The sequence below is a fragment of the Homo sapiens genome, chromosome 6 (genome assembly GCF_000001405.40).
Source record: "Homo sapiens chromosome 6, GRCh38.p14 Primary Assembly".
Taxonomy (NCBI): Eukaryota; Metazoa; Chordata; class Mammalia; order Primates; family Hominidae; genus Homo; species Homo sapiens.
In genome coordinates this window covers 147310813-147336188 of record NC_000006.12, presented here as the reverse complement: position 1 = coordinate 147336188, position 25376 = coordinate 147310813, and the positions used below count along the sequence as shown (strand labels likewise).

At 34.1% G+C, this 25376-nt stretch overlaps 1 protein-coding gene across 16 annotated transcripts in view; it reads right to left on the bottom strand.

Annotated features, from left to right (window-relative positions):
- STXBP5 (syntaxin binding protein 5) overlaps nt 1-25376 on the bottom strand; it is a 186057-nt gene that overhangs the window by 54285 nt on the left and 106396 nt on the right. For 9 of the 16 annotated variants that reach the window (XR_007059202.1, XR_007059201.1, XM_047418197.1 and 6 more), the window contains 10 exons: nt 24662-24734; nt 22158-22305; nt 21858-21925; nt 21553-21593; nt 20454-20674; nt 19782-19960; nt 11105-11230; nt 8913-9064; nt 7407-7490; nt 1967-2032 (listed from right to left, as the gene is read on the bottom strand). Coding sequence is in view for 13 of the 16 variants with exons in the window: in XM_047418197.1 (XP_047274153.1) it covers nt 1967-2032; nt 7407-7490; nt 8913-9064; nt 11105-11230; nt 19782-19960; nt 20454-20674; nt 21553-21593; nt 21858-21925; nt 22158-22305; nt 24662-24734 (1158 nt within the window). In the remaining 3 variants the exon portion in view is untranslated. Of the gene's footprint in view, nt 1-1966; nt 2033-2948; nt 4734-7406; nt 7491-8912; nt 9065-11104; nt 11231-19781; nt 19961-20453; nt 20675-21552; nt 21594-21857; nt 21926-22157; nt 22306-24661; nt 24735-25376 lie in introns of those variants that run through there. The other 7 variants (XR_007059203.1, NM_001127715.4, NM_001394409.1 and 4 more) reach the window with 2 other exon arrangements.

Here is a 25376-nt window from a genome sequence, read left to right as displayed (position 1 = left end):
TCTGAAACAACTATTCCCTATTAAAGTTTGACTTTTTGTAAAAAAAACAGTATTTCCTGATATGGAGAAACCGACATAATGTCTCAGAGAATTCCTATGTTTTTCAGAATATAATCAAAGCCTAAACAAAGGTTTCTATATCTAATGATAAGAATACATGATTTATCAATGATTTTTTGAAGTCGCAATTTTTACTTTGCATTTCAAACATGCTGAGATAGAAACAATGAAATATCTAAGGACATATGAACTTCTCTATTACTTTCCTTTTCACATGGACCAAAGAGCAAAATATATTTGAAAATGCTGAACCATGTTTGAGTTTCTCTGTTTTGAGAATTTACAGGGTTTTTAACCTTTATTTACTTTTTCTTTTTTTCTTTTTTTTTTGAGACGTAGTCTCGCTGTCGCCCAGGCTGGAGTGCAGTGGCGCGATCTCGGCTCACTGCAGGCTCCGCCCCCTGGGGTTCACGCCATTCTCCTGCCTCAGCCTCCCGAGTAGCTGGGACTACAGGCGCCTGCTACCTCGCCCGGCTACTTTTTATATTCATATACTTAGATTTAAATATATACTTATCTACAAATATCACGTTTATTTCAAAGGGCTAGATGTATCCACTTTTTGAAAGTCTGGCCCAGGATAAAAAGGAATACTAATTTATTTGGGCTGAATCTTATTAAAACCCATCTCCCATGGTATTTAATATATTTAAGTGTAATATATCACATGTTCCATGTCCAAATTGTTCACCCTGGCTTATATCCTTAACATATTGACAAATGCATTTACCGATTTTGGGGAAGATGAGAAAGTCAGAACATTATTTTATGTAGTTAGAAGGAAAGTAAGAACTAAAAGATATTACAATTCTAAATTCCAAATTCAGAAATAAACAGTCCTAGGAGACAGAAAACAGCTCCTGCTTCATATTATTCATTCAAACTTAATTCTACCAATGTTAAACCTTATTAGGTATTAATTATGTGACCAATTCCTCCATATGTTTTATTAGTTTAATGAATAAATTTAAATATGAAGTTTAAAGAACAAGAAAGTCAGAAAATGCATAGGTACATTTTAACTTTAAGAAATAATCGACTAGTTAGTATCAGGAAAATGCAATTGTAAAAGGCAAACATAAAAGCTTTTGCAGTCTTAGATATAATAAAATATTACACTAAAATGTGAGGGAGTAAAACAAAATACCCTTCTCAATATTTCCCATTCTTACAATTGTTTCTGATGTAGTATACCAGCTATGGAAGGATCAAAACCTGTCTTAACAACAGTGTTACTTATGCTAAGAATGATCTCTTCACTAGAAAACTGGTGAATAATATTAACTTTATGAAGGATTAGAAAAGGATCAATCCACCAAAATAAAATAAATTCAAGATCTTCTTAATTTTAAGAGGTCTCCAAAGATAATAAAAATTAATATTCTTTTGAAATGTTAATATACACACAGGTCACATAAAGACCCATTTATAGATAAGAAATGAGAACTGCTTTAATACAGCTATAAATATATCAGAAACTATTTTCATCATAAATAAAAATACATACAACTAGTCTATAATTATTCTAATTGTCTACACTCATGATTAGATTATAAGTGTTAAACATTTTTCATAACATTTAAAGATGGTAGATAACTAAGACATTTGATCCAATGGCAAGGAGTAAAATATATTTTCTCTAAAAAAGGTGTAAATATAAGAACATTAAATAAACAATTACATGATTCTCAGCAGGTAAAGTTTTGGATTTTTATTTAGCACAAGCTACATTTCTTTCCACTTAATCAGAATTCAAAGAATGCAGTTAAGATTTTAAGACTAAATACGTGACACAAAAGTTTTCGTAGATGTATTTTAAATGCATATCTATCAAAATGTACACTAGTATGCTATCTTGGATTTTGTAAATCATAATTATTAATGAAATAAAAAAAAACCAAATTACCAGAGGTTGGAGATTTGCAGCGATCCTCTGGAACAACAGTCCCTTCACTAATATCACACAGACCGGCTACAAAACAAAAACAAAAAACAAATCAACCCATACATTTATGTAAGTGCAGTTTTGTCTTTTATTTATAGTACACATTTAACTACTGTCCATTTAAAAGAACCCAATAAATTAACAGACTGTGGTACTGATACCATGCACATTGGGTTTGAGATAGAAACATTTTATATTAAAATACCTCAAACTAATACAGCACTCATCAGTTAAAACAAATAAAAATATAATCTATGATAAAATACAAAGTAAACAATATGTTATAAATTTGCCTGGTGATTGACGTTATAAAAACCCCTGCAAATTGTCTAAACATTATAAATAAACAAAAACACATCAAGAGTTTGGACTAGCTGGGCAAGGAGTTACATGTCCAAGCCTCAGAAGTCAGGTGTCACATCGATGGATGAACAGGATGTGTATGTATCACCAGTATCTGCTTTTCTATTACTTTGGTAAAAGACATGATGTCACATTTCCAACAGTCACTGAGAAAGCTTTCAAAGTAACATTTCCTAAGAACATGAGTACTGAATTCAGCTTCTAAGAAAAGTTTCCCATTTTGAGGCACATATTAGTTTTTTTCATTAGATAGGAAGTTCTTGAATGAGAATTAGTCATATTTTTTGTTTGTTTTTTATGACGGAGTTTCCCTCTGTCGCCCAGGCTGGAGTGCAGTGGTGCAATTTTGGCTCACCGCAACCTGCGCATCCTGGGTTCAAGCGATTCTCCTGCCTCGGCCTCCCAAGTAGCTGGGACTACAGGTGCGCCCCACCATGCCTGGCTAGTTTTTTTGTATTTTTAGTAGGGATGGGGTTTCACCATGTTGGCCAGGTTGGTCTGGAACTCCTGACTTCCAGTGATCCACCCACCTAGGCCTCCCAAAGTGCTGGGATTACAGGTGTGAGCCACCATGCCCAGCCTGAGAATTAGTAGTTTTAAAAAAAATCTTCATCAAACTAATGGTCCTGGAAGAAAACCTGGTTTTTACAGATCTAAGATGATAGATGTAATTATAGGTATGCATTTAATCTTTGATAAAATATTTGTTTATATACATGTACTCTTTATTGATAGAACACTAAGAGGATCTCTAAACAGTAGTGATAACACTCCAGTTTTATGACGTGACTAGTACTGAATAAAAATGGTAAAATTTGAAATTTTACCCCCTTGGTATTTTTGTCAACTGCTACTAAAGATTATACTTAGGGGAAACCACTTTGAGGTTTGAGTTGAGGGTCCTTATGATATAATAATTACTGAACTTATTGACTAAAAAAGTTCTTAAACTTATATGATATAGTTATCATTCTTAAAAAGGCCTAGGAAGAAACATTTAGGAGTTGAATTACAGAATGTGGATAGAGAGGATTTAGTTTAGATATTAAATTAAACAACTGTTAAATAAGCTAAAAATCCATTCAGTGCCTTCATCTCACTCAGGGTAAAAGTCAAAGTCCAACCCTACTTGGTTGGGTGATGTAGATGATCCTACAGTATACTGTATCCTGTTACCTCTCAGACTATCTGCTGCTTTCACTGACTTGCCCACCACTGGTACTCTCTCTTCTCCAGCCACACTGACTCCTCATTGTTCCTTGAACTCACCAGGTGTACTGCTTCAGAGCAAATTGTGCTTGTTCTCTTGTATGAAATGTTTCTTGTTTGACTGACTGTTTTCCCAGACATCCTCATGGATAATAGCTCTCTCACGTCCTTTAAACCTGAAATCATCTAGACACTCTATTTTATTTTAAATTTAACACTCCATCATTGATATTTCAAATCCTCCTTCAAGTACTTTTCCCCTCGGCACTATTAATGTAATCTACTGTATATTACTTATCTTCTTAAGTGTGTGTCTCTTTCAGTTGGACATGAGTTCCATGAGGGTAGAGAATTTTGTCTGTTTTGCTGCCTATAATGGTGCATAGCACATGGAAGCCTCAGTATCTGTTGAATGGTTGAGTGAATACATGTGAAAGAATTTCATAGCATGTAACTTAATCCATCCCCTCTGTTACTGCCAGAATCCCTTCAACAAATATTCCTAGCAATACAGCTACCTAGGCTCTGTTCAAACCTATCTCACTCAACCCAATTAGCTAAGTGGTCTTAAGTGACATTTACTGAATACTTACTATGTGCCAGATATGTTTTAAGTGCTTAATTCATTTAACCCTAACAGCAGCAAATGAAGTAGATAGTATTATTCTCATTTTACAGAAGAAGAAACTGAGGCACTGAGTGTTGTAGGCATTTTATACAGGAACAAAAACCTAAGTACTTATAGAAATGGTCCACTTAATTGCCACTCTTAGAGTTTTGTGTGTTTTTTTTTTTTTTTTTTTTTTAACTGGTAGAAAAGCTCTGCATGCTTTAGGACAAAATCTGCTTTTTATAATGCCCTGATTTAAAAATGAGGGGAAAATACAACATAAACATAGAACTGTAATTTTAACTGTTCTAAACTTCTCACATTAACATATTCAGCAGTTCTGCCACATTACTGGCACATACGAAGTTGTGGTCAACAGTAACAAAACAACCACCTGAATGCCAGCAATGTTCACTCACATGATTAGGTATGCCACATTGTGTCCTCTCACTTAATAATCACACCAACTTCATGAGGGAGTCACCACCTTCATTTTATAAATGAGGACACTGAGCTTCAGAGAAATATCCTTTCTAGTATCACAAACTTATAAAAAGAGCAGAGATTTAAACTTAGATGTGCTTAAACAAAATCTCCAATTATGTTTCACTGTGTTTTCTGTTCTATATGTAAACAATCAATCTTTATAACCTAAACTCAGGACTCAACATGTATTGTTGATAAATCTCAATTCTTTGGTTTAAATTTACTGTTTCTACCTATAAATTATCTTTTTGAGTTGTTACTCTGCCATCAAATGCAATAGCTACCTCCCCCTTAAACAGTGACCCTTCTTATAAGCATATCTTCTCTTTCAAAAGTCCAGACAGGAAGCTACATTTACTATTTAAAATATTCAACAAAACATAATCCTATGTTATTCAACACAATACATCCATTAACTGAGGCACACTACATCAAGGTAATTAGACTACACATTAATCCAGTACCATGGTTTAATTGAGAGGGCTGGCAAATGTTTTCTGTAAAGATCCAAGTAATAAATAGTTCAGGCTTTTTCAGCCAAAACCAAATATTCAGCTGTTCTGTTGCAGCACAAAAGCAGCTATAGACAACACATAACAAATAAACATGGTATTTTTCCAATAAAACTGTATTTACAAAATCAGGCACTAGGCTGGTTTTGGCCTACAGACAATAGTTTGCTGACTCTTGATTTAAGCAATCTTTCCATCATTAAACTGAACTAGGTATTTAGGTCACTTCTACCTGTCTGGTTCACAAAAGTACCGTAAAATTATCAATACCTCATTAACTTCAGGCAACATTATGTCAACAGGCTGCCATAAGTCATCAATGTAGTTACCAGATTAAAAAAGTAAAATTGATTTTACTACAACTTACTTTTAGTGAACTTCTGCTGACTTCTATTGATCATTTCTATTTTCTATATGCACATAGCAACTCATTCTAGAATTCTGACTAATTAGTGCCTCAAATCAGCTGAAATGTAAAATGTTTGACCTTCACCAACTGGGGATCCCTTTTAAATTCACCAATTATCTTGATATTCTTTTTATTATTGCTTGGTCTGCCTCATTTACATAAAGGAACTTAGGATTTAGTTTCTCTTTATTATAATAATAGCTTTCATACTTTCCAGAGAAAAAACGATTCTTCTTAATGTAGCACTCAGTTACTTAGTTCTGCTTTCTACTAATATACACACAATCATTAGTATATTTAATATACACACAATCATTAGTAGTTTTATCATTCTACTGAATGATAAAATGACCAGCAAAACAATATATATATTATCCTACAGTTCATTTTTAGTAGAATCAGATTTTTAGCAGATATACGGGTAGCTGAAATACTTCATTACTGTTTGTCCTTGTGACAGTTCTAGAATTTTTATTACGAAAACACAGCCTATATTTTACTCAATAATGCAACTGTATTGTAATACAGCTATGACACATTTAAACTTAGCCTAAACAGTTTTGTCTTAAAATTCATGTGAACTACATTCTTTATAAAAATATATCAGCATCTATTTGTAGGAAAACAAAAAAATTTCTCCAAACTGTTCTTTTAAAAAAGCCTGAAGAGGCCGGGCGCGGTGGCTCACGCCTGTAATCCCAGCACTTTGGGAGGCCGAGGCGGGCGGATCATGAGGTCAGGAGATCGAGACCATCCTGGCTAACACGGTGAAACCCCGTCTCTACTAAAAATACAAAAAAAATTAGCCGGGTGCGGTAGCGGGCGCCTGTAGTCCCAGCTACTCGGGAGGCTGAGGCAGGAGAATGGCGTGAACCCGGGAGGCGGAGCTTGCAGTGAGCCAAGACAGCGCCACTGCAGTCCAGCCTGGGCGAAAGAGCGAGACTCCGTCTCAAAAAAAAAAAAAAAAAAAAAAAAAAGCCTGAAGAACAATTTGATGATATTTGGTCAACACCTAAGAACATGTTATAAAATACATGTGTTAGGAAGAATATTATTTTTTACATCATGACAAAGAATTTTTATACCAATCATTCTATATTTAATTTTATTTCAAATATTTATAAATTTGGGGGGATCAGAGTCAGAAATATTCTTAAGATGTTATTTTAAAACATACTTTAATATAATTTTAATTTTTATTTAAAACACAACCCTAAATATTGACAAAGCGAGACATAACAATGAGTAAATATCTTAAACTAATAAAGAAAAACTCAAATAGTTCTCCTGTGCCTAAATAGCTAATTCTTCAATAACAAAATAAAGCAAATAATAATATAAATATAATATAAAAATAATATAAATAAAATATAAATTTTAAAAAATATTTTTAAAATTAGATGGTAAAAATCAGTCTCTATCCTTAGATAAATCTAGGCATTTAATTTCTAGCAATTTTACATAAGCTAGTATAAGGTATAATGGAGAAAAGGGGTTAATTTTATGGATAGTGTAATTTTTACCACATTTGTAAAATAAACTAAAGGTTTTATCTTCAAAAAATATTTCTTCTCTATCATGATAATTTTCTAACATTCTAGCATTAAATACTAGTATCTTGGCTTTACAAAGAAATAGAATTGGGGCACAAGTATTTAAATAGCTGTTTTCATATACATGTCATGAGATGAATCTAAGTAATGAGTACAGTGTTTTAGACATAGAACGTTTTAATAAGCTCTTTTAAAAATGAACACAAAAACTCCCAATGATTTTACAAAGAACAAACATGCCAAGGCATAAATGACTTACTTAAAAAAGAAGAACGTAGTTTTTTCATAGATTCAGAATATAAGCTAGAAAGGCCGCACATGCAAGAAGTCACAATCAGCACACCTTAGTGAAGCAATGAAAAGCGGAAGAAATAAAAGGAGACAAAAATACTAGAATGGTATGGTTGGGACAACAATCTCTGCTGAAGATATTACATGACAAAATGATCACATTAAAAAAAAATGGAAAAACAAAACTTTGGAAAGAAAAATTCAGTCATCAAGCCAAAGTAACAGAAAGGTCTATATCCCCTAATTCTACCCCCCATGAATTGTAAAATTTGCAGTATTAGTTAATAATGTACCGAACACAACTGAAAAATGATTTGCAGAATGAATTTTAATTCAGAGGGGACTGAGTTAGGAAGTACAGACCAGAGCTTCCCAAACGGTGTTTCAATACACACTGGTATTCTGCAAATGAGTTAAGTATGCCTCAAACAGGTTGCCCTCAATCTCTGGTCCAGTTGGGCAGGACAGGCCCTGGGGAAACTGGATTCTGCAGGCCAGTTACAACTGGAAGTCTCATTAGTGTACCCTGTGTGCCATATATCAAATGCCATCTTTTTGTGTGTGTCATGAAATAAAAAAAGGGCAAGAAGTACTGGTATATATAGCTAAGTATACATGTGTACCTTGAGGTATTACAGTAGAACATTTAAAATTAAGACTAATTACCTAGCAAACATAAAAGAACTCTATAAAGAGAATTCTCAATGAGTGTGGGCTTACATTTAATCAAAGCTATCTAAGAATGGTATATTTTCAAAGAAATAAAATTTACTTTTGCATTTTCCTTTTTTTCCCACATGGGAATGATTCCTTTGAATTAAATCGTTTAAACAATAAATCACTGGTCTTACAAAAACCAAACAATGAAAAGGAGCAAAACCTTACAAAGTAACTTTTTTTATATAATAATTATACAAATATTCCTGTCATTATATTTTAGCTGAAAAGTTTGATCCCGTGGTTCTTTCTCAATGTGCAATAAAATCCTAGAATATTAAAAAGAAAAACAGGCTGGGTGTGGTGCCTCACGCCTGTAATCCCAGTACTTTGGGAGGCTGAGGCAGGGGATCACTTGAGTCCAGGTGTTTGACACCAACCTGGGCAACATGACAAAACTCCATCTGTACAAAAAATACAAAAAACCAGCTGGGTATGGTGGCATGTGCCTATGGTCCCAGCTACTCAGAGGGTTGAGGTGGGAGGATCACCTGAGCCCAAGAGGTCAAGGCTGCAGTGAAGGCACTACTGCACACCAGTCTGGGTGACAGAGTGAGACCCTGTCTCAAAAAAAAAGCAAAACCACAACTATAGAAAACAAAAATAAGACTCACAACTTTTGCTAGTTTTTGGCAGTTTATATATACAGACTAAATCAGGCAAGCTATTTACCTAACTATAATACTTATATTCACAAAAGTAAGCCAGCATTTATAGAAATCCTAAAGCTCAGAATTTTCTTTTCTTTTCTTTTTACCTCCTGAAGGCTGTCGAGATTTACGAGGAGATCGGGGTTCTCTCCGATAAGGATCATTAGAGCCATATAATTCAATAGTGCCCAGGTTGAGCAGCACTGCTTTCTGGAGGTAGTCAACCATAGCAATGCCATTGCAATTGCCAAAAACCACCCTGGGAATAGGAAAATAACAAACATTTTAGCACAAACAAATAATTCCAAAAAAATGTACTACAGTCTATAAGGCTGAAGAAAGAAGCATGGTGGGTCTTTCAGAAAATTCTTTGAAACAAAAGACAACTATAGGAACTGAAATACAGGTTACATATGCCTACTCACGGAACTGTTTAGATCTTCTGCAGACATTATTTAATATCACTAAATCAATCAACTGCATTATTTATAAAAATATTTGGCATAGGAGTTGAAACTTGATCAGAGATATAAATCTCTCACATCTCACAACGCAACATCTATTTTTCTACCTTGGGGGCATTTTGAGCTCTTCATGGGTGGGAGACATTCCCTTCTATTAGGAAAGTAGGAGATTATACTTTGGGGTAAGTTTTGGTAATCATTCAAGTCAAGAATAAAAAGTAGAAAGCATACATCTTGGAGGCCCTTTGGGGTGTTCTAAATACCTTCTCAATTATGAGTCAGGAACTATAAACCAATCAACTATGAATAAAGGAAATTTATTCTTTTAAGATCTTTTAAGCCAGGAATGGAGAACTGACATGTATAGAGAGCTATATAACTAAGTAAAAGAGGACATGTAAGCATCATGGTTACTTAAGATTGTATGGCACATCTAATGAGGAAAAGCTTCAACTCAGTTCCAGATGAAGCTGCCATGGAGAAACACGGACACGGCCACATAATCAGATTTTTAAGTTGGAGCTCTAAGTATGGATTTATATAGTCTTGGTAACTAATTAAAATTCTAAAAATACACAGAAAGGGCCAAACAAAATACAACTGTAAGCCTAGTGAGGTCTGTAATAGATTCCTTTGAAACTTCCTATTGGTTCTTTTTCTTATTTCCTATGTTTTCTTTATGGTCGTGGAAAATAAATATTTAAAAGAAGAAAGTTTGTGCTCTTACATTGTGTGGCAGCAAATAAAAGATATGAAAGAAGACTATCTCAGACTGTAGCCAGTGTTAGTTTGATGTACAGTTGTCCCTTGGTTTCTTCAGAAGCTTGGTTCCAGGACCCCCACAGATACTAAAATCTGCGGATGTTCAAGTCCTCAATACAAAATGGCATAAAATTTGCATGTAACCAATGTACAGTCTCCCATATACTTTAAATCATCTTGAGATTATTTACATATACCTAATACAATGGAAATGCTATATAGTTTTTATATTGTATTTAAAAATTTTTTTTAATTGTTGTATTGTTTTTTGGTTATATTTTCTGAATATTTTTCATCTACAGTTGGTTGAATCCGTGGATACAGAGGGCTAACTGTACAGCTGCAAGAGACAGAATAGGTGGTGGGAGCTACCAGCAAGAAAAAAAATGAATGAGTCCCTAGGGCTAGCATCAAGCAAGGAGACAATGAACTACACATGATAAATAGCTCTGGGACTGAACAGTTAGGAAGCAGTTTCTTACACTGCAGTGTTGATTTCTGAAACAAGAAAATAACAAATGCTTTATAAGTCTATCATATTGTAATAAAAATATGTATAATTAACACTATATGGCTGAAGGCATGAATTGATAAAACAGTATACTACAGTATAAATGAATATTAATTATTGTCATGCTTTTACAATTTATACAAGTTAATTGGAAGTAGAAAGAAAAATTACACAACTACACTTCAACATTTACAAAAATCAGTTTTATAACAGTTTTCTGGGTTCATATTGTTAGATTTCCATTATAGTAATTATTAATAAGAAAATTATTTCTGGGAGTATATTTAGGAGAGGATATACTGACTTTAAAACTTCATCACAAATAATTTATTGGTCCATGAGGCATTTAACTTTACATCAGGAAATACTGCATGCATACCCAAAGTAAGTTATTCAGAATGAAATTATGTTCCAAATAAACAGTCAATTTCGTCTGAAATCAAAATTGTAGAATGCCATTTTAGGTGACGATATAACAAAGACCATCCTTTCTATTTTTAAAAACAAAATGACATATGGAATACTATGAAGAGACTTAGAAAAAAACGTAACTTATACTTACAGTCCATAGGAAGAATTGACTGCCAGGCTGGTTATTTGTTGTGGTGGTTCTCCACCCACCCAAACCAACTGAATAACTAGTTCTGTTTGATAACCTGGAGACTGTTTAAGTGGTGAGTTTTTAACTCTAAAATAAAAGAAAACATGGTATCTTTAAACCATTTTCAACTATTGGCCTATATGATTATAAATAACTTTTTATATGAAACGATACTAGATACTTAAATATATAAAAATCAGAATCCTGTTTTCTAGAAGCATTTAACCTAGTTGGAGGGACTAAGTATGTAATTAACAAAAATAACTCATATGCAAACTCTACATATAAAGTGGGGGAGGACAGCAGGGGTGAAGGAAAAGGAGAAAATAAGAGGTGAGGAGGAAGAAGAGGGAGAAAGGAAAGAAGGCAGGGAGGGCTGGGGAGAAAGCTGAGGAGAAGCGGCAGTCCAAGGATTAAGAAGAGAAAAACAAATCAAGTTAGAAAAAAATGTAAGTTAGAAAAGCAGGTTTAAAAATGGCTGGGTGCAGTGGCTCACGCCTGTAATCCCAGCACTTTGGGAAGCCGAGAAGGGCAGATCACCTGAGGTCAGTTCAAGACCATCCTGGTTAATATGGTGAAACTCTGTCTCTACCAAAAATACAAAAATTAGCCTGGCGTGGTGGTGTGTGCCTGTAGTCCCAGCTACTCTGGAGGCTGAGGCAGGAGAATCGCTTGAACCCGGGAGGCAGAAGTTGCAGTGAGCCGAGATCGCGCCATTGTACTCCAGCCTGGGCAACAAGAGCGAAACTCTGTCTCAAAAAAAAAAAAAAAAAAAAAAAAACCAAAAAAAAACCCCACAAAACTTAAAAACATGAAGTAACATAACGAAAAACTGTCCAAAAACAAGTTAAAAAAATGAGTTACAACAAATATGAGCAATTTGTGTGTGTGTGTGTGCACCTACTTTCACTGTAAAACAAATCTACCTTGACTTTGAGGTGACAGTATTTTTGTTCGCAGAGACTCTTTTTTAATAATTGCTGGATAATGCTACAAAAAATGCTCTTGCAGAACACAGACAGAAAACCCATGTTCAAGGATTGATAAGTGTTAAGTGTGGCCACAGTGGTAGGAGTGTGTAGTAAAAGTGAGAAGACAGCAAGACAGGCCAGGGCCAGACTTTAGAGGGTCTTCAAGTCCTGTCCACAAAGGTTTGATGTTGGTAGAAAGAACTCTCAGCAAGGTGGACTTTGAGTACTGATTCTGTTACTCACCAGCTGTCTTTTCACCTAGAAAGTGGGAGTATTACTACCTAGTCACAATGTGAGGAACTTGTGACTGCCTATGAAAAGTACTTTGCAGATGGTCAAATTAGACAAAGGTAATATATTTTCATTATTAAAGAATTAAGACAGGCTGGGTGCAGTGGCTCACACCTATAATCAGAGCACTTTGGGAGGCCGAGGTGGGCAGATCACTTAAGGTCAAGAGTTCGAGACCAGCCTGGCCAACATGGCGAAACCCCGTCTCTACTAAACATACAAAAATTACCCGGGTGTGGTGGTGAGCACCTGCAATCCCAGCTACTCGGGAGGCTGAGGCAGGAGAATCGCCTGAACCTGGGAGGCAGCGGTTGCAGTGGGCTGAGATGGCACCACTGCACTCCAGCCTGGGCGACAGAGTGAGATCTCCGTCTCCAAAAAAAAAAAAGAAGAATTAAAGGCCAATGAAGGTTGATAAGAAATATCTGGGGAAGATTAATTTGGTGAACATAGGTAAGACGAAGTAGAACAGGGTCACCAATTGGGAAGTTCCTGTGATTCTGATGTGAAACAAGAAAAAGGGAGATTGAAACACATTAATGGAGTAAGAACAGACAAGGCTTTACATTTCAGGAAGGCAGAAACCTTGCAGCTATTAATACTTTTAACACTGGCACAAAAGAGGTACTCAATATTTACTGAATGAATTGGAGGTTGAGTAGAGGTAGGGTAGAGGAAGAAAAGAAGAAACAGTGAATGTACAATCAGACAGAAGGAAGGGAGGGAGGGAGGGATAAAGAGGTAGTTTTAGGAGACCATGGGGTTAAGTTTGAGATGATGGTAGAGAACTACAAGTGAAACTAGTCAGCAGGTATGACTACCTATTCCCAAACCTCATGAATAGTTAAATCCATGCTGAACTAAACTTGTCATTAGGATTTTAGAAAGGAAGAGATAAAGAGGGGTTTAAAAGAGTGTGAGACCTTCTGAAACAATACCTGCTATACTTGTACCAGAAAACTTCAAGTGTACTTGAAAGGCACATTTTTTTAAAAAATGTGAACAATTTTAGTGTGTGACTGCTTTTATTGTAAAAAACTCTACTATGACTTTAAGTTAAAAACATTTTTGATTGCACAACTCTTTGCCTAGTAATTGCTGTAGCAAAACATATGCAAAGCCTGGTTACTTCCGCAATTCTTAAGGCTTCTGCCTTGAAATGACAGTGTGTGAGAGAACAGCAGGAAGACTACTCGATGTTGAATTTCCTGCCACCAAACTCAGAGGTAAGAACCCTTCTGAATTATTCAGTTGGTATTTCTAATGTGGAAGACCATGGCACCTCGTGTTTTGATGACATACATGCTAGGAAACAGCGAAAGTTGTTCAGACTTCAGGGTAAATGTGAATCACTGAGGGCACTGCTTATACGAATTGAACTACAGTTCACTTCTGGCTGGTCAAGGTTTGCAAGGCAATGCATTCAGAACTCTACACTGGCTGATGCAAAATTTCTGAATTATTCTTAGGGAAATACCCACTAATCAGCTACAGCTCTCCATCTCAAGCGACAGAGTAACAACTGAGGCATTTCATTTCTTCCCAGAGTCAGCCTTGACACAGGAGTAGACTGAAGGGTCTGAGTGGTCTATCTTCTACTTCTATGAATTAGGTATAGAAGGTTAGGGTCAAGGAAGTGTCCTCCCTCCCTCTGGCATATTAAATGTGCACGACAAATTCTCAAGAGCAGAACCAGGCATTCCAGGGATAATTTTAGAAGTACATATATGGGCACATTTAAGATTTAAGTGACCAGGACACACAGAACTCATGGAATTCTTATTTTAGTTAGTATAAGGAAACAAAAAAACGTTCTTAAGTAAAAATAAAAAGGCAGCCAAACATGATGCAAAATGGTAAAGGATGAGAAACCTAAGCCAAGAAATGAAAGCAGGTAAGTTACATTTTAAAAATATGAAATGGGAAGAGGGTGTTATGCTTTATTCTAAATGGTTATGGTATAATTTTAATGTTTTTAATATATTCAAGTTGATTTGTTTACTTTTTAAGGAAAAAGTTTTATAAAGAGTTCCATAATTTGTACAAACGTATTTTAAATGTTAAAGTGATGCGTAGAGCCTCACAGTTTCAAAATGATTGTTTGAGCAAGTACCTTGCAAAGGGACAATAAAAATAATTCAAAAACATAAAATTTCATTGCTAAAAGAAACAAGTCAAACGGCTGCCTTTTCTTTTTTACCTCTTTTTTTAAGAGACAGAAACTCACTCTGTCACCCTGGCTGGAGTGCAGCTATGATCATAGCTCACTGTGACCTTGAACTCCTGGGCTCAGGCAATCCTCCCACTTCAGCCTACAGGTGATGTCGCCACACCTGGCTAATTTTTTAAAAAACTTTATTGTAGAGATGGTATCTTACTATGTTATCCAGACTGGTCTTGAACTCCTGGTCTCAATCAATCCCCTTCCTTGGTCTTAAACAGCTGCTTTTAAAATGTTTCTTCAAATAAACCAATTGTAAACAAAGGCATTTTATATGAAAAAAGCCTCAATATTATATTTTAACATCAATTTTTGTTATACTTCTTACTTTAAGAAACTGGCCTCTAGGACTGTGGACCAAAACAATGTCAAGTTAATAAATACCTGCATTTATTTGAAGACTATTAAAAGAAAAAAATGAGGTATAAGTTGTTTGTGATTTTTAAAAAAATCACTAATATATAGATTTTAGACAAAAATGTCCAAAACTTGTACTTTATGTCTTTCACTAGCTTGTACAATATTCTACTAAAAGACTAGTTATCTCTCTCATGACTCTGTCTCCAAAAATTGGTCCTTTAGTAAGGTAATACTAGAGAATTATTATTACTAACAAATTAATTTTAAGATAATGGCTGAAGAAAAGGAAATAGTTATCATGCAATCCCTATGTTTACAATCTTCCCATGCATTCTTGTTCTTGGGTTTTCTCTAAAATCCAGAAAAAGGATCAAAATAACCATAACTGTATCAATAGAGCCATTACTTTATGATATTTTTTACTATGATTTGTTTATATTTCTAGTTTTAAAAATCAATACTTAAAATTTTAAGTAATGTTGTAATTTAAATGTATAACTTGATGTAACAATATATAACATTATCTATTAAAGTTAGTAAGAATTTGCATTTATGTGACCAGCCAAACCACCCCCCATGGCTGCCAAAAACAAAAATCAAGCATGTGTACACACACACACACACACACACACACACACACACACACACACTCAAATTAGCAGGACTGCTTCTCCACATCTGTTGTATTTTCTTGAGTGTCAGTGGAACTCCTGGGCTTCTCTCTACCCTCTTTCTAACTCTATCCCAGGAATGGTAGAGTCCCTATGTAGCCGGTAAATATGGAAATAATTAATGTAGCCCTCTCATTTTCCCCTCAACCTGTGTTCATTTGGGAGCAAGTCTGCCCAGGGGATGCATTTTCTTTTCTGCTGCTGCAAAGGCAGTGTTCTTAATACTGCCACGACTGGGAGGATAAGGCTATCTCTGTATACAGGTCAGTCAGTACCAGGAAACCTACCTGGCTCTTGTGCTAGTTGGCATCTTTACCTTTAACAATAATTAAGGTGATATTTTTAGTCACCATCTGAAATTATTTTATTTCTTAATGTGTTAAGAATACAGATGGGGGCCAGACACAGTGGCTAACATCTGTAATCCCAGCACTTTGGGAGGCCGAGGCAGGCAGATTGCCTCCAAGTTTGAGACCACCCTGGGTAACATGCCGAAAACCCATCTCTATAAAAAACTACAAAATTAGCTGGGCAAGGTGGTGTGCGCTTGTAGTCCCAGCTACATGGGAGGCTGAGTTGGGAGGACTGATTGAGCCCAGGAGGTCGTGGCTGCAGTGAGCTGTGATCACACCACTGTACTCCAGCATGGGCAACAGAGCGAGACCCTGTCTCTTTAAAAAAAAAAAAAAAAAAAAAAAAAAAAGAATCCAGATAGGTAAAGAGAAGTATAATTACTGGGCTCCTTCGTAGATTCTAGTAAGCAATTACAGGTGACAGGACTCTGGCTGAATCTCCTATGTGTGTCTTTAAAGTCTGAACTGCTTCAAAGTTCCATCCATTTTATAAAACATACTGACAGGGCAGTTTACCTCTATCTGACACCAAACGCTACTTCCAAAAAGAACTGTCCCTTAAAATATTAAGTCTCAAGATAAAATGAATTTATAAAGTTTTATTATACATGAGGTTAGTTGTTATAAAGTTTTATTATACATGAGGTTAGTCTACAAAAAACCAAAACAGAAGAAAAATTATTAAAGTAACTCAAAACAATGTAATTGCCTTATGAATCACTTGTCATATGCTCAAAGGTCTAAAGGACAGCTGTCATGTTATATTTTACTATTCATCTAGTGTTTTACTATCAGTGGTAATTTTAATACTACAATTTTGGACTTACTTTTGTTAACAGATAAATAATATTAAATGGAATAATTCCAGGCTAATCAAATTATAGGAGAAGAGTGGTTTGGGTAAGAGATTTAAAATTATTTATTTACATTATATAGTAATGTAAAAACTCAATGAAAAATAAAAGAGTTTTAATGACTGTTTTTTAAAAAACAACCCCCCCATTTTTTTTAGCTCTTGTCACCAGGTGGTCTACTATAACAATATACTGCTTATTAAAAATAATGTTACAAACATTTCTAAAGATCATATTTTGGTCTGTTACCCTGTGAGGGCAAGTAGTATTCAAAGCAAGTCTAGAACATCTTGACAGAAATTAAGGATGGTCACAAAGTTCTGAGGTGGTGTTAAGAAGACACAAACACCAACTTAAAAGAAGCTCCCTCTAGAAAACTGTGACAAAATCACGTTAAGTTGATTAAATTCAGTAAGTTAAAACAAATTGCCTATAAAAAATACCTAGAGTTCCACAGTGATATTCAAAAGGAAAAAAAACCATCAAATCACAGTCATTAGTTATTTTAGGATTCAGAAAAAACTGTTAAGATGTTATTGCGTGTATATCCCAGGATTGGCAAAGTGTATCCATACACAAAAGATAACAATTAATGCCAACAACAAAAAGGACTCTCCTCACATGTATCATTAATGGATTGGCTAATGAGACTCTCTGTCTACTGGGACTAACCAGCAGCTTAAAAGGAATTCTTATATTAAGTGACATTCCATTAAATAATTACAAAAGATTAATAGTGTGCCATAACATTCCATCACAAGTATGAAAAGTCCTCCCAAACAAGAAAGATGGCCATACCATAATCTCAGGTCCATGAACAATAAAGAAAACTCATAATTGCAGAACGAAGTCAGTATTACCTTTAAAATGGATTTGGGTACTGTTGTACTCTGCATTTTGGTTTGCTGGTTTTAACAGCTGCTGCTGGTTGCTGCCTTAACTATTATCCTTGCTCTTTCAGTCAGTAAAAAAACTGGAAAAAAAAGGCCTTTCTAAGAACAGAGGACAAAGACTCACCTATCAGGCTGGCCTTTAACTTTAACCTAGAAAGCCAAGGTAAGAGGTCTTGTCACTCTGGTCCAAACAGTACTGCTTCTCCTGTCAGTACTATTTCCTCTGACCTATCTTGTCATGAGAAAGCAGTGCATTGATGGTGTTTTTTCTTCAGGTAGGAAAAGAATTTAATGTTTTATACTGCTGGATCTCTGGCCACAAGCCTAAAAAACTTGGAGGCATCAGAAATTATGAAGTACAAATTAAATAAATCATTCTAATTCTGTTGAAGATAATGTATGTTTATATGGAATTGTTATTTTGTTAAAATGTCACTTCAGTAGTTGAAAACACTATTTCAGAAATATAGAAATACGTTACAAAAAATGCCCCAAAGACAAATTGTACTACGTATGTCATAAAAATTAAATGTAACAAAGGGCTTGGGAAAAAAACATTGAAATCAGAAACAAGGGCATTAACGGAACATTTACAATTTTAAGTATAAAGTAGTATTGAAGAAGTAATAAAGGGGAAAAGTGTAGAATTCTGTATTCCCAAGTCTCATTCTAGTTAAAACATGTGCTAGAACTACAGTTATAAGTGTGTATATTCTAGTACAGGTATGAGAGAGGGAGAGGAGAGAAAGAAAAACTTGATACCTTTCTGAGAAATGTAGCTGCTTAACCTCAATGGGTATATACTGTTTGGATCAGAGGTTCTCATCCTTGGCACTACTGATGTTTTGAGCTGGTAATTCTTTGTTGTGTGCACTGCCTTGTCCATTGTAGAATATTTAACATTATCCCTGGCCTCTACCCACTAAGTGTCAATAGCATCTCCCTTCCTCATGTTGTGTCTACTAAAAGCATCTCCAAATGTCCCCTAGGGAACAAAATCATATGCAAATGAGAGCCACCAGCTTAGACTACATGACCTTCAATTTTTGTAAACATATAATTTTCTAAAACTCTGTATTTTTAAAATGATTGTAATATAAAAAAAATCTATCCGTTTTATCTTTGGTGTGAGTGCATTATTCATTACACAGACATTCTTCCCAGAAATTATTTATCTACCAGTAGAAGAGACTCAAGCAGATTAAAGTAAAATAGTGCAAAGCCTGGTCCTTTTAATAAATGCAAATTATTTCTCTTACTTACTACCCTCTCTACCTTGAACCTAGTACACTCTGGCTTTTGCCCTCTACCAATCTACTGAATCTCTCTGAGTGCTACCAGAACCACCTTTCCGTCATTATCCTAGTTGAATTCTTTGTAAATATACTATTAATCACATAGTCTTCATGTACTTTTTCAATGATTTTAACTTCTTACTCATTGTTTTATTTCTCTGCCTCTATCATTTAAACATTTTAACCACTCAATAATAAAAATTGGACAGAAAAAATAAAACTTCATCCAATTTATCTCTGTATAAAAGCAAGATATATTTAAATTTAGGATGCAACAATAAAACGTTTTAAATAAAGATACGGTGGTGCTAGTGAAGATTCAGAAAAAGAAAATGATTAGAAAACAACTGAGTCTTAAAAGACTTAAACAGAATTTTCAGAGTTGTAGAAAGCAGTCGGAACATAAATCCAAGCTACATATAAATCAAGACTAAAAACACTGATGGATTTAGAAGACTGAGCGATATATACAGGTTAGATCCTTGCTGCTTTACGAGAATGTTTGGAGATTAAACCTTAATATTTTAAGGATAATATCATGAAATGCAATCATATTCCTCTTGATGTCATAGAAAAATGAGTTGGACTAACCATAGCAAAACACAGGAAGAACCATTCTTATGCCATTTTGCTATATCAAAAGAAAATGTTACCATAGCTCTAATGCTTACAATTTATATAAATTAAAAGATAATATCCAAAACTCCTCTGTAGTTTTTTATAACTTACTTTAAACAAGGTACATTATCACGAAGCCCATCAGATGAACTGCTACTGGTAGATGGATGAGACTGAGGAGGGATGGGCTGAGGGTTGGACCCTCCCACGGGTGTTGGCAAAGGTGGTGGCTGCTCACCCTCCGGAGTTTCCACATCATTTATCTCATATAATAATCGAACTTCAAGCATCTGTTGTAAAAGTAAGGTAGTTTACTTACTCCTAATAATTATTGCTCATTTTATCACAATTTATACACACATACACACACACTTTACATAAACTTCAGTGGCAAGAAGATTTTTAAAGGTAAAAATTTAGCAAGATTTCAAAAAATAAGGATTTAGCAAGAAAGAAAACGTTCTTGACTCAGGGAGTACACACACAAACGTGCATTATGATTTTAGAATGTATGGTACTCGTGTTAATATCAAATTAGAGTATACTCATATTCATATTAGCTTTCCTTAAAGGAAACATATCCTATACTTAAGGATTTAAATAATCAGTGAAAATATATGCAAAAAATGCTGTTTTTTACAAAAGAGAGATAATAATATAAATACTAAGGTGTTTTCAAAAGTTCTGCACAAAACTGACTGCAAAAAGTCTTCCAAATCATCCACAAATTTAAAAATGTGGATGAAAATAACTTGACCATGAAAATAACTAAGACGTTATTACCGGAATGACTTCTGTGATTACTTCCTGCTTGCTGAATCTATAAATAATGACATGAGCTGAAACTCCAGCGATGCACAGCATTCTACTTTCTGGACACCAGGAGATGATCTGAATGGCATATGGATCTTCATCTACAATGTCTGTGTTTGGCCTGTCATCTTTATTTCTTGACTTTTCAAATACTTTAGATGTCTTTAGCTTATATAATACTTGTAGAGTTACTGGAAAAAAGATAATATATGTCAGATACTTTAATATAAAATGATCAAACATAAGGTAACATTTAATCACTCATACTATGTATAGAAAATGGTCCATATTTAACTACATCATATTTTCATTTCTCAATTTACGTTAGTCTATTAAACATTTAGATAATATATTCTTTGTTCTCATTGACCAAACAAGAGTGTGCTCATTGTATTCATGAAGAAAAATCTATTATCACAATGGATTTTAGGTAATCTTAAAAAAATGAGTAATAAAAACATTTTGGAAAAATAATGTGTAAATACATGAAAATAATAAACAACACAGTTTGCTTCCTAAAATGATTTTCTATGTATCTTCTCTAGAAAAGATACAGTACCAATATAATTAAACATTCCTACATGAGGAAACACAACATATCCTGAGTTAACTGGATTCCAATTGAATGCTTGCCATGTGTGTTTTGAAACATTAATCATTAAAGGCATTATTTCTTTTTTTGCTACTATGTAACCACCAGATTTATTTCGCAAAGACAACATGAACGTTAGTGATACAAATTTAGAGTCAGGCATTAAAATTATTCTAGAAATTTCTGTTGATTTGGAACACATTCCCACTTCCCCTAACTCTGACTTAGGAAGATAAGGTTTGAAGAAATTTTGAAGGAAAAAATAAAATTGAATACTTGTGTTGCCAATTATTCTTGATTTACTAATATTAAGACTATATTAAAAATTCTAAACTCATGTATTTAATAAATCAAGCATTAAATTTATAACCTCTACATTTCAAATTAAATATTGGTTATGCAATTATTATAAAACAGGATGCATAAAAGCAGTGATTGTATAACATATAACAAATAATGAATATTAAAAATACTTACTTGCAGAAGCATCCCAGAACTTAACTGACCCATCAGCATGCCTAAGAAAAGCAATGTTAAGAATGTGATGAATAAAATTACAGTTCTTCCTTCTTTAAATGGGTACTGCTATTAAAAAGTCAACAAAATGAGTAAAAAGGTAAAAAAAATCAGGGTAAACTGGCAGGTTCTTAAGAATAACATTTCTTATTATATTACGACATAAAGGAAAGCTCTACCTGTCCAGTAAGTTAACATTCATGTAGTCTCAATCAATTATATTTAGCTATTATAGATTTACTTGGTGAAGACAGACTTTTACTTACCCTGTAATAATTATTTCTGGGTAACTTTGAGCACCCAAGCCCCAATTACCTCCGTTGATGGGCCATTCCTATAAAAAAAGATGACTGTATAAAGCAACTTGCAAGCATACTACATACCTCCGTGTGTGTGTGTGTGTGTGTGTGTGTGTAAATAATCCAGTGAAAAACATATTTTGCTTGCAAAAATAATTTTTAACCTATTTTCCATAGAAAAGGTATAATGTTATCAAATACTCCAAGGTGATAAATATAGAATAAATAAGAAATATAACATTAAATACTGAAGCTCATGTTCAATACCTTTTTGCTGTAACCTTGACGTTTCTGTCTAGCTCCAACAGAATAAAGTGCAGGAATAAGGTCCACAGGACAATCCGCAAAATATTCGCAACATGTAACAGGGGACTCATGTATACTCAAAGGGTAGGGATTTTCAAATATAGGATATCTTTAACAACAGAAAAAGAAAAGTATTTATTAATTTAATGAATTATACCATATGATTAATACAAAAATAAAAACTTTAAAAAACATACATTCTATCATAGAGATTAAATTGATTTAATTTTTGTAAATATATTTAAAAATGGAAGTCTTTTATAATGAAAATTGCTCAATTAGAATAGTAAACAGAAAGGCTCTAGTTGCAACTACATGCCATATGCCATACACTACACTAAGTGCTTTAAATATATACATCTCATTTACTTCTTGCACCAAACTTACGACATAGGCATTTTACTGAAGAACAAAGGCTTACAGAGAATAATGTGTCAAAAGCATGCCTGCTAGCAAATGGTGGAATAACACATACCTCATCCTTATGTCAGCAGAGCTAACAAATGTTCCATTCTTTTTCTCTCCATAAACATGATACCTAGTCCAATATTTAATTCAGAATATTTTTCTTGTTTTGGTAATAATACATAATAAAATTCTACCTTAAATGTTTTCTAGATATGAAGTTACTTTATTAAATAAAGCAAAAAATGCTTTTAAAAATCATGAAATTAAAGTAGAATCCTATCTAAATATAAAATATTTCTTTTCTCATTTTAAAGTCCTTAGAATGAGAATAGTCTGGAAAACCAGAAACTGGCTAAAAAATTTAAAAAGTGCAAAGTGGCTAATTTGCAAAAATTAGATCAGTCTACTACTGACAATTTTTTAAAACAGAAGAGAGAAATTTCCAAATAGTCCCTTATAGACTGCAAAATGAACCCAACTATCACCACTCCCACCTCCAGGACCAAACACAAACAACATGCATTCATAAAATGACAAAACGGCAAGCAACTTTCTTCTCTTTATAACACACATTATTTCCTTAGCTCAGTGATTCTATTATTACCATACATTTAACTGATACTTTTGCTAAATAAAATGCCTAGTCACAGGTTACTTGCATAGTATTTTCTTTGACTTAAATGTATCTCAGTACAGATCACATGTGAAAAGTCTCAATTATTTGAAAAACTTGCCTAAGGGAAAAAAATAAAAGAAAATCATATTAAGAATAAGTTATTCTAGGACAGAAATAATATTTTCAAATTATCTTGTTATTTTGAAAAGACTCCTCACAATTGATTAGTAAAAGTAGCAGGTACTAAAGTAAATTTAGAATTGCCTAAACATCAGGTAAATGATACTGTTCACCTAATTCAGGGTCGCCCAACCTCAGTACTATTCACATTTTGGACGAGATAATGTTCTACTGTAGGGAACTGTCCTATGCACTGTGGATGTTTTGCAGCATCTCTGTCTTCTACCCACTAGATGCCAGTCGCAACACCCTCAAACCCACTGAAAAGGTTTCCACAGAGATCGCCATATATTCTCTGGGTGGGAGAAGGGCGGGGCTGGGGGCAGGGAATGCAAAAATCACCCTTGATTGAGAAACACTGCAATACTGAATGAGTAAACTCAATTAAAAACCATACTTAATGATTCTTTCTCCAAAGATAAATAATACAATGTGCTTCCATTCAAATAATTTGTAAGTAAACATTATCATCTATGATCCAAAAAGCAGAATATGGCAAATACCATGAAAAGTTACAAAGAAGCTATGGTGTGAAGTTACAGATCAGATATAATACATCTGGTAAACAGAGGATAGGAAAAGCCCGAAAAAGATAAGAAGGTTGACTTTGAAAGTTATATAGAGTTTTATGGCAGTGAAACAACTAGTGTTTCAGGTATTGGGAATTACATAGGAGAAGACATAGAAATGTGATGTCTGTTGAATACATAGTTCTGTTTTCCTAAGGAATAGACACTAGTGAGAAGACAGAGATCAGGTTGGAAAGAAATCCTGAATTCCTACTGTTTGGAGTAGCAGATGTTTTTAAATCAAAAAACAATACTGAACCATGGTTTGAAGAGGATAGTACAAGATTGGAACTGTGTGTAAAACGAATCTGGCAAAAGCACGTATAAACATTGCAACTGAGAGTGAGTAGACGTAGAAAGCCTAAAATAGCTTATTTTGGAGGTAAATACTGATGGGATTAATTTTTGACGTGCTGATTTTGTGTGGCCCCAGGATATCTAAGTGTCAGGTTGAATCATGTGAAATTTCAGAACTACAACAAATTTTTACCTAAAAATGAAAATTTTATGAGATTCAACATAATAGAGAAATTTGAGTAAGTAGATATGTGAGTCTGGAGCTCTCAAAAGAGGTCAAGGTTATGGATATAAATGTAGAGTTTTCAAAGAAATGAAATAGCTAATGCTATGATAAAAGGCATCTTTTTTCAACCACATACTGATAGAATCACTCACCAAATTTTATTTCTTACCCATTTTGTGCAAGGTCTATAAGTACTAAATCCTTTTCTAGAAGAACAACCACAGCATATGGTTCTTGAAAATCTGGAATTGGACAATGCATGAATTATAGTTTCAAAAATGCAAGTGGACAGCAAATTAGATAAATGTTTCTTGCTTGATTTTATTTAGTTTCATTCTCTTGAGTATTTAACATTCTGATCCTATGATACTTCATGCATGTTATTTAAGGCTAGTAAGTTTTATGAGATCATCTATTTACTGACCATTTCAAAATTATTTTACTTTTGTAAAAATGAGTAAGACAGAAATTTCTATGGCATTGCAAATTTCAAAGCTGCACATGGACAACAAAACTAAAATTTAAATCTGAATACACACAAGAACAGTTATCATTTAATCTCACAGGAACCCAAAAGAGTTCTACTATAATACTATCTTTCTTGGATGTTTCATATGTGCCTGTCAATAACTGTAAAATACATTACATCTTTACACCTCAATGAATTTCAACTGAAGTGAAAAAAGGTCCAGATTTAAATTCTTCTTGAATTATATACACTAGCTCTGATGGTTAATTGTATGTGTCAATTTGTCTATAATATGGTGCCCCCAGCTGTTTGGTCAAATACCAGTCTAGACATTGCTGTGAAAAAAAAATATACATATATATACATATATTCAGATGTGATTAGCATTTAAATCAGTAGATTCTGAGTCAAGCCC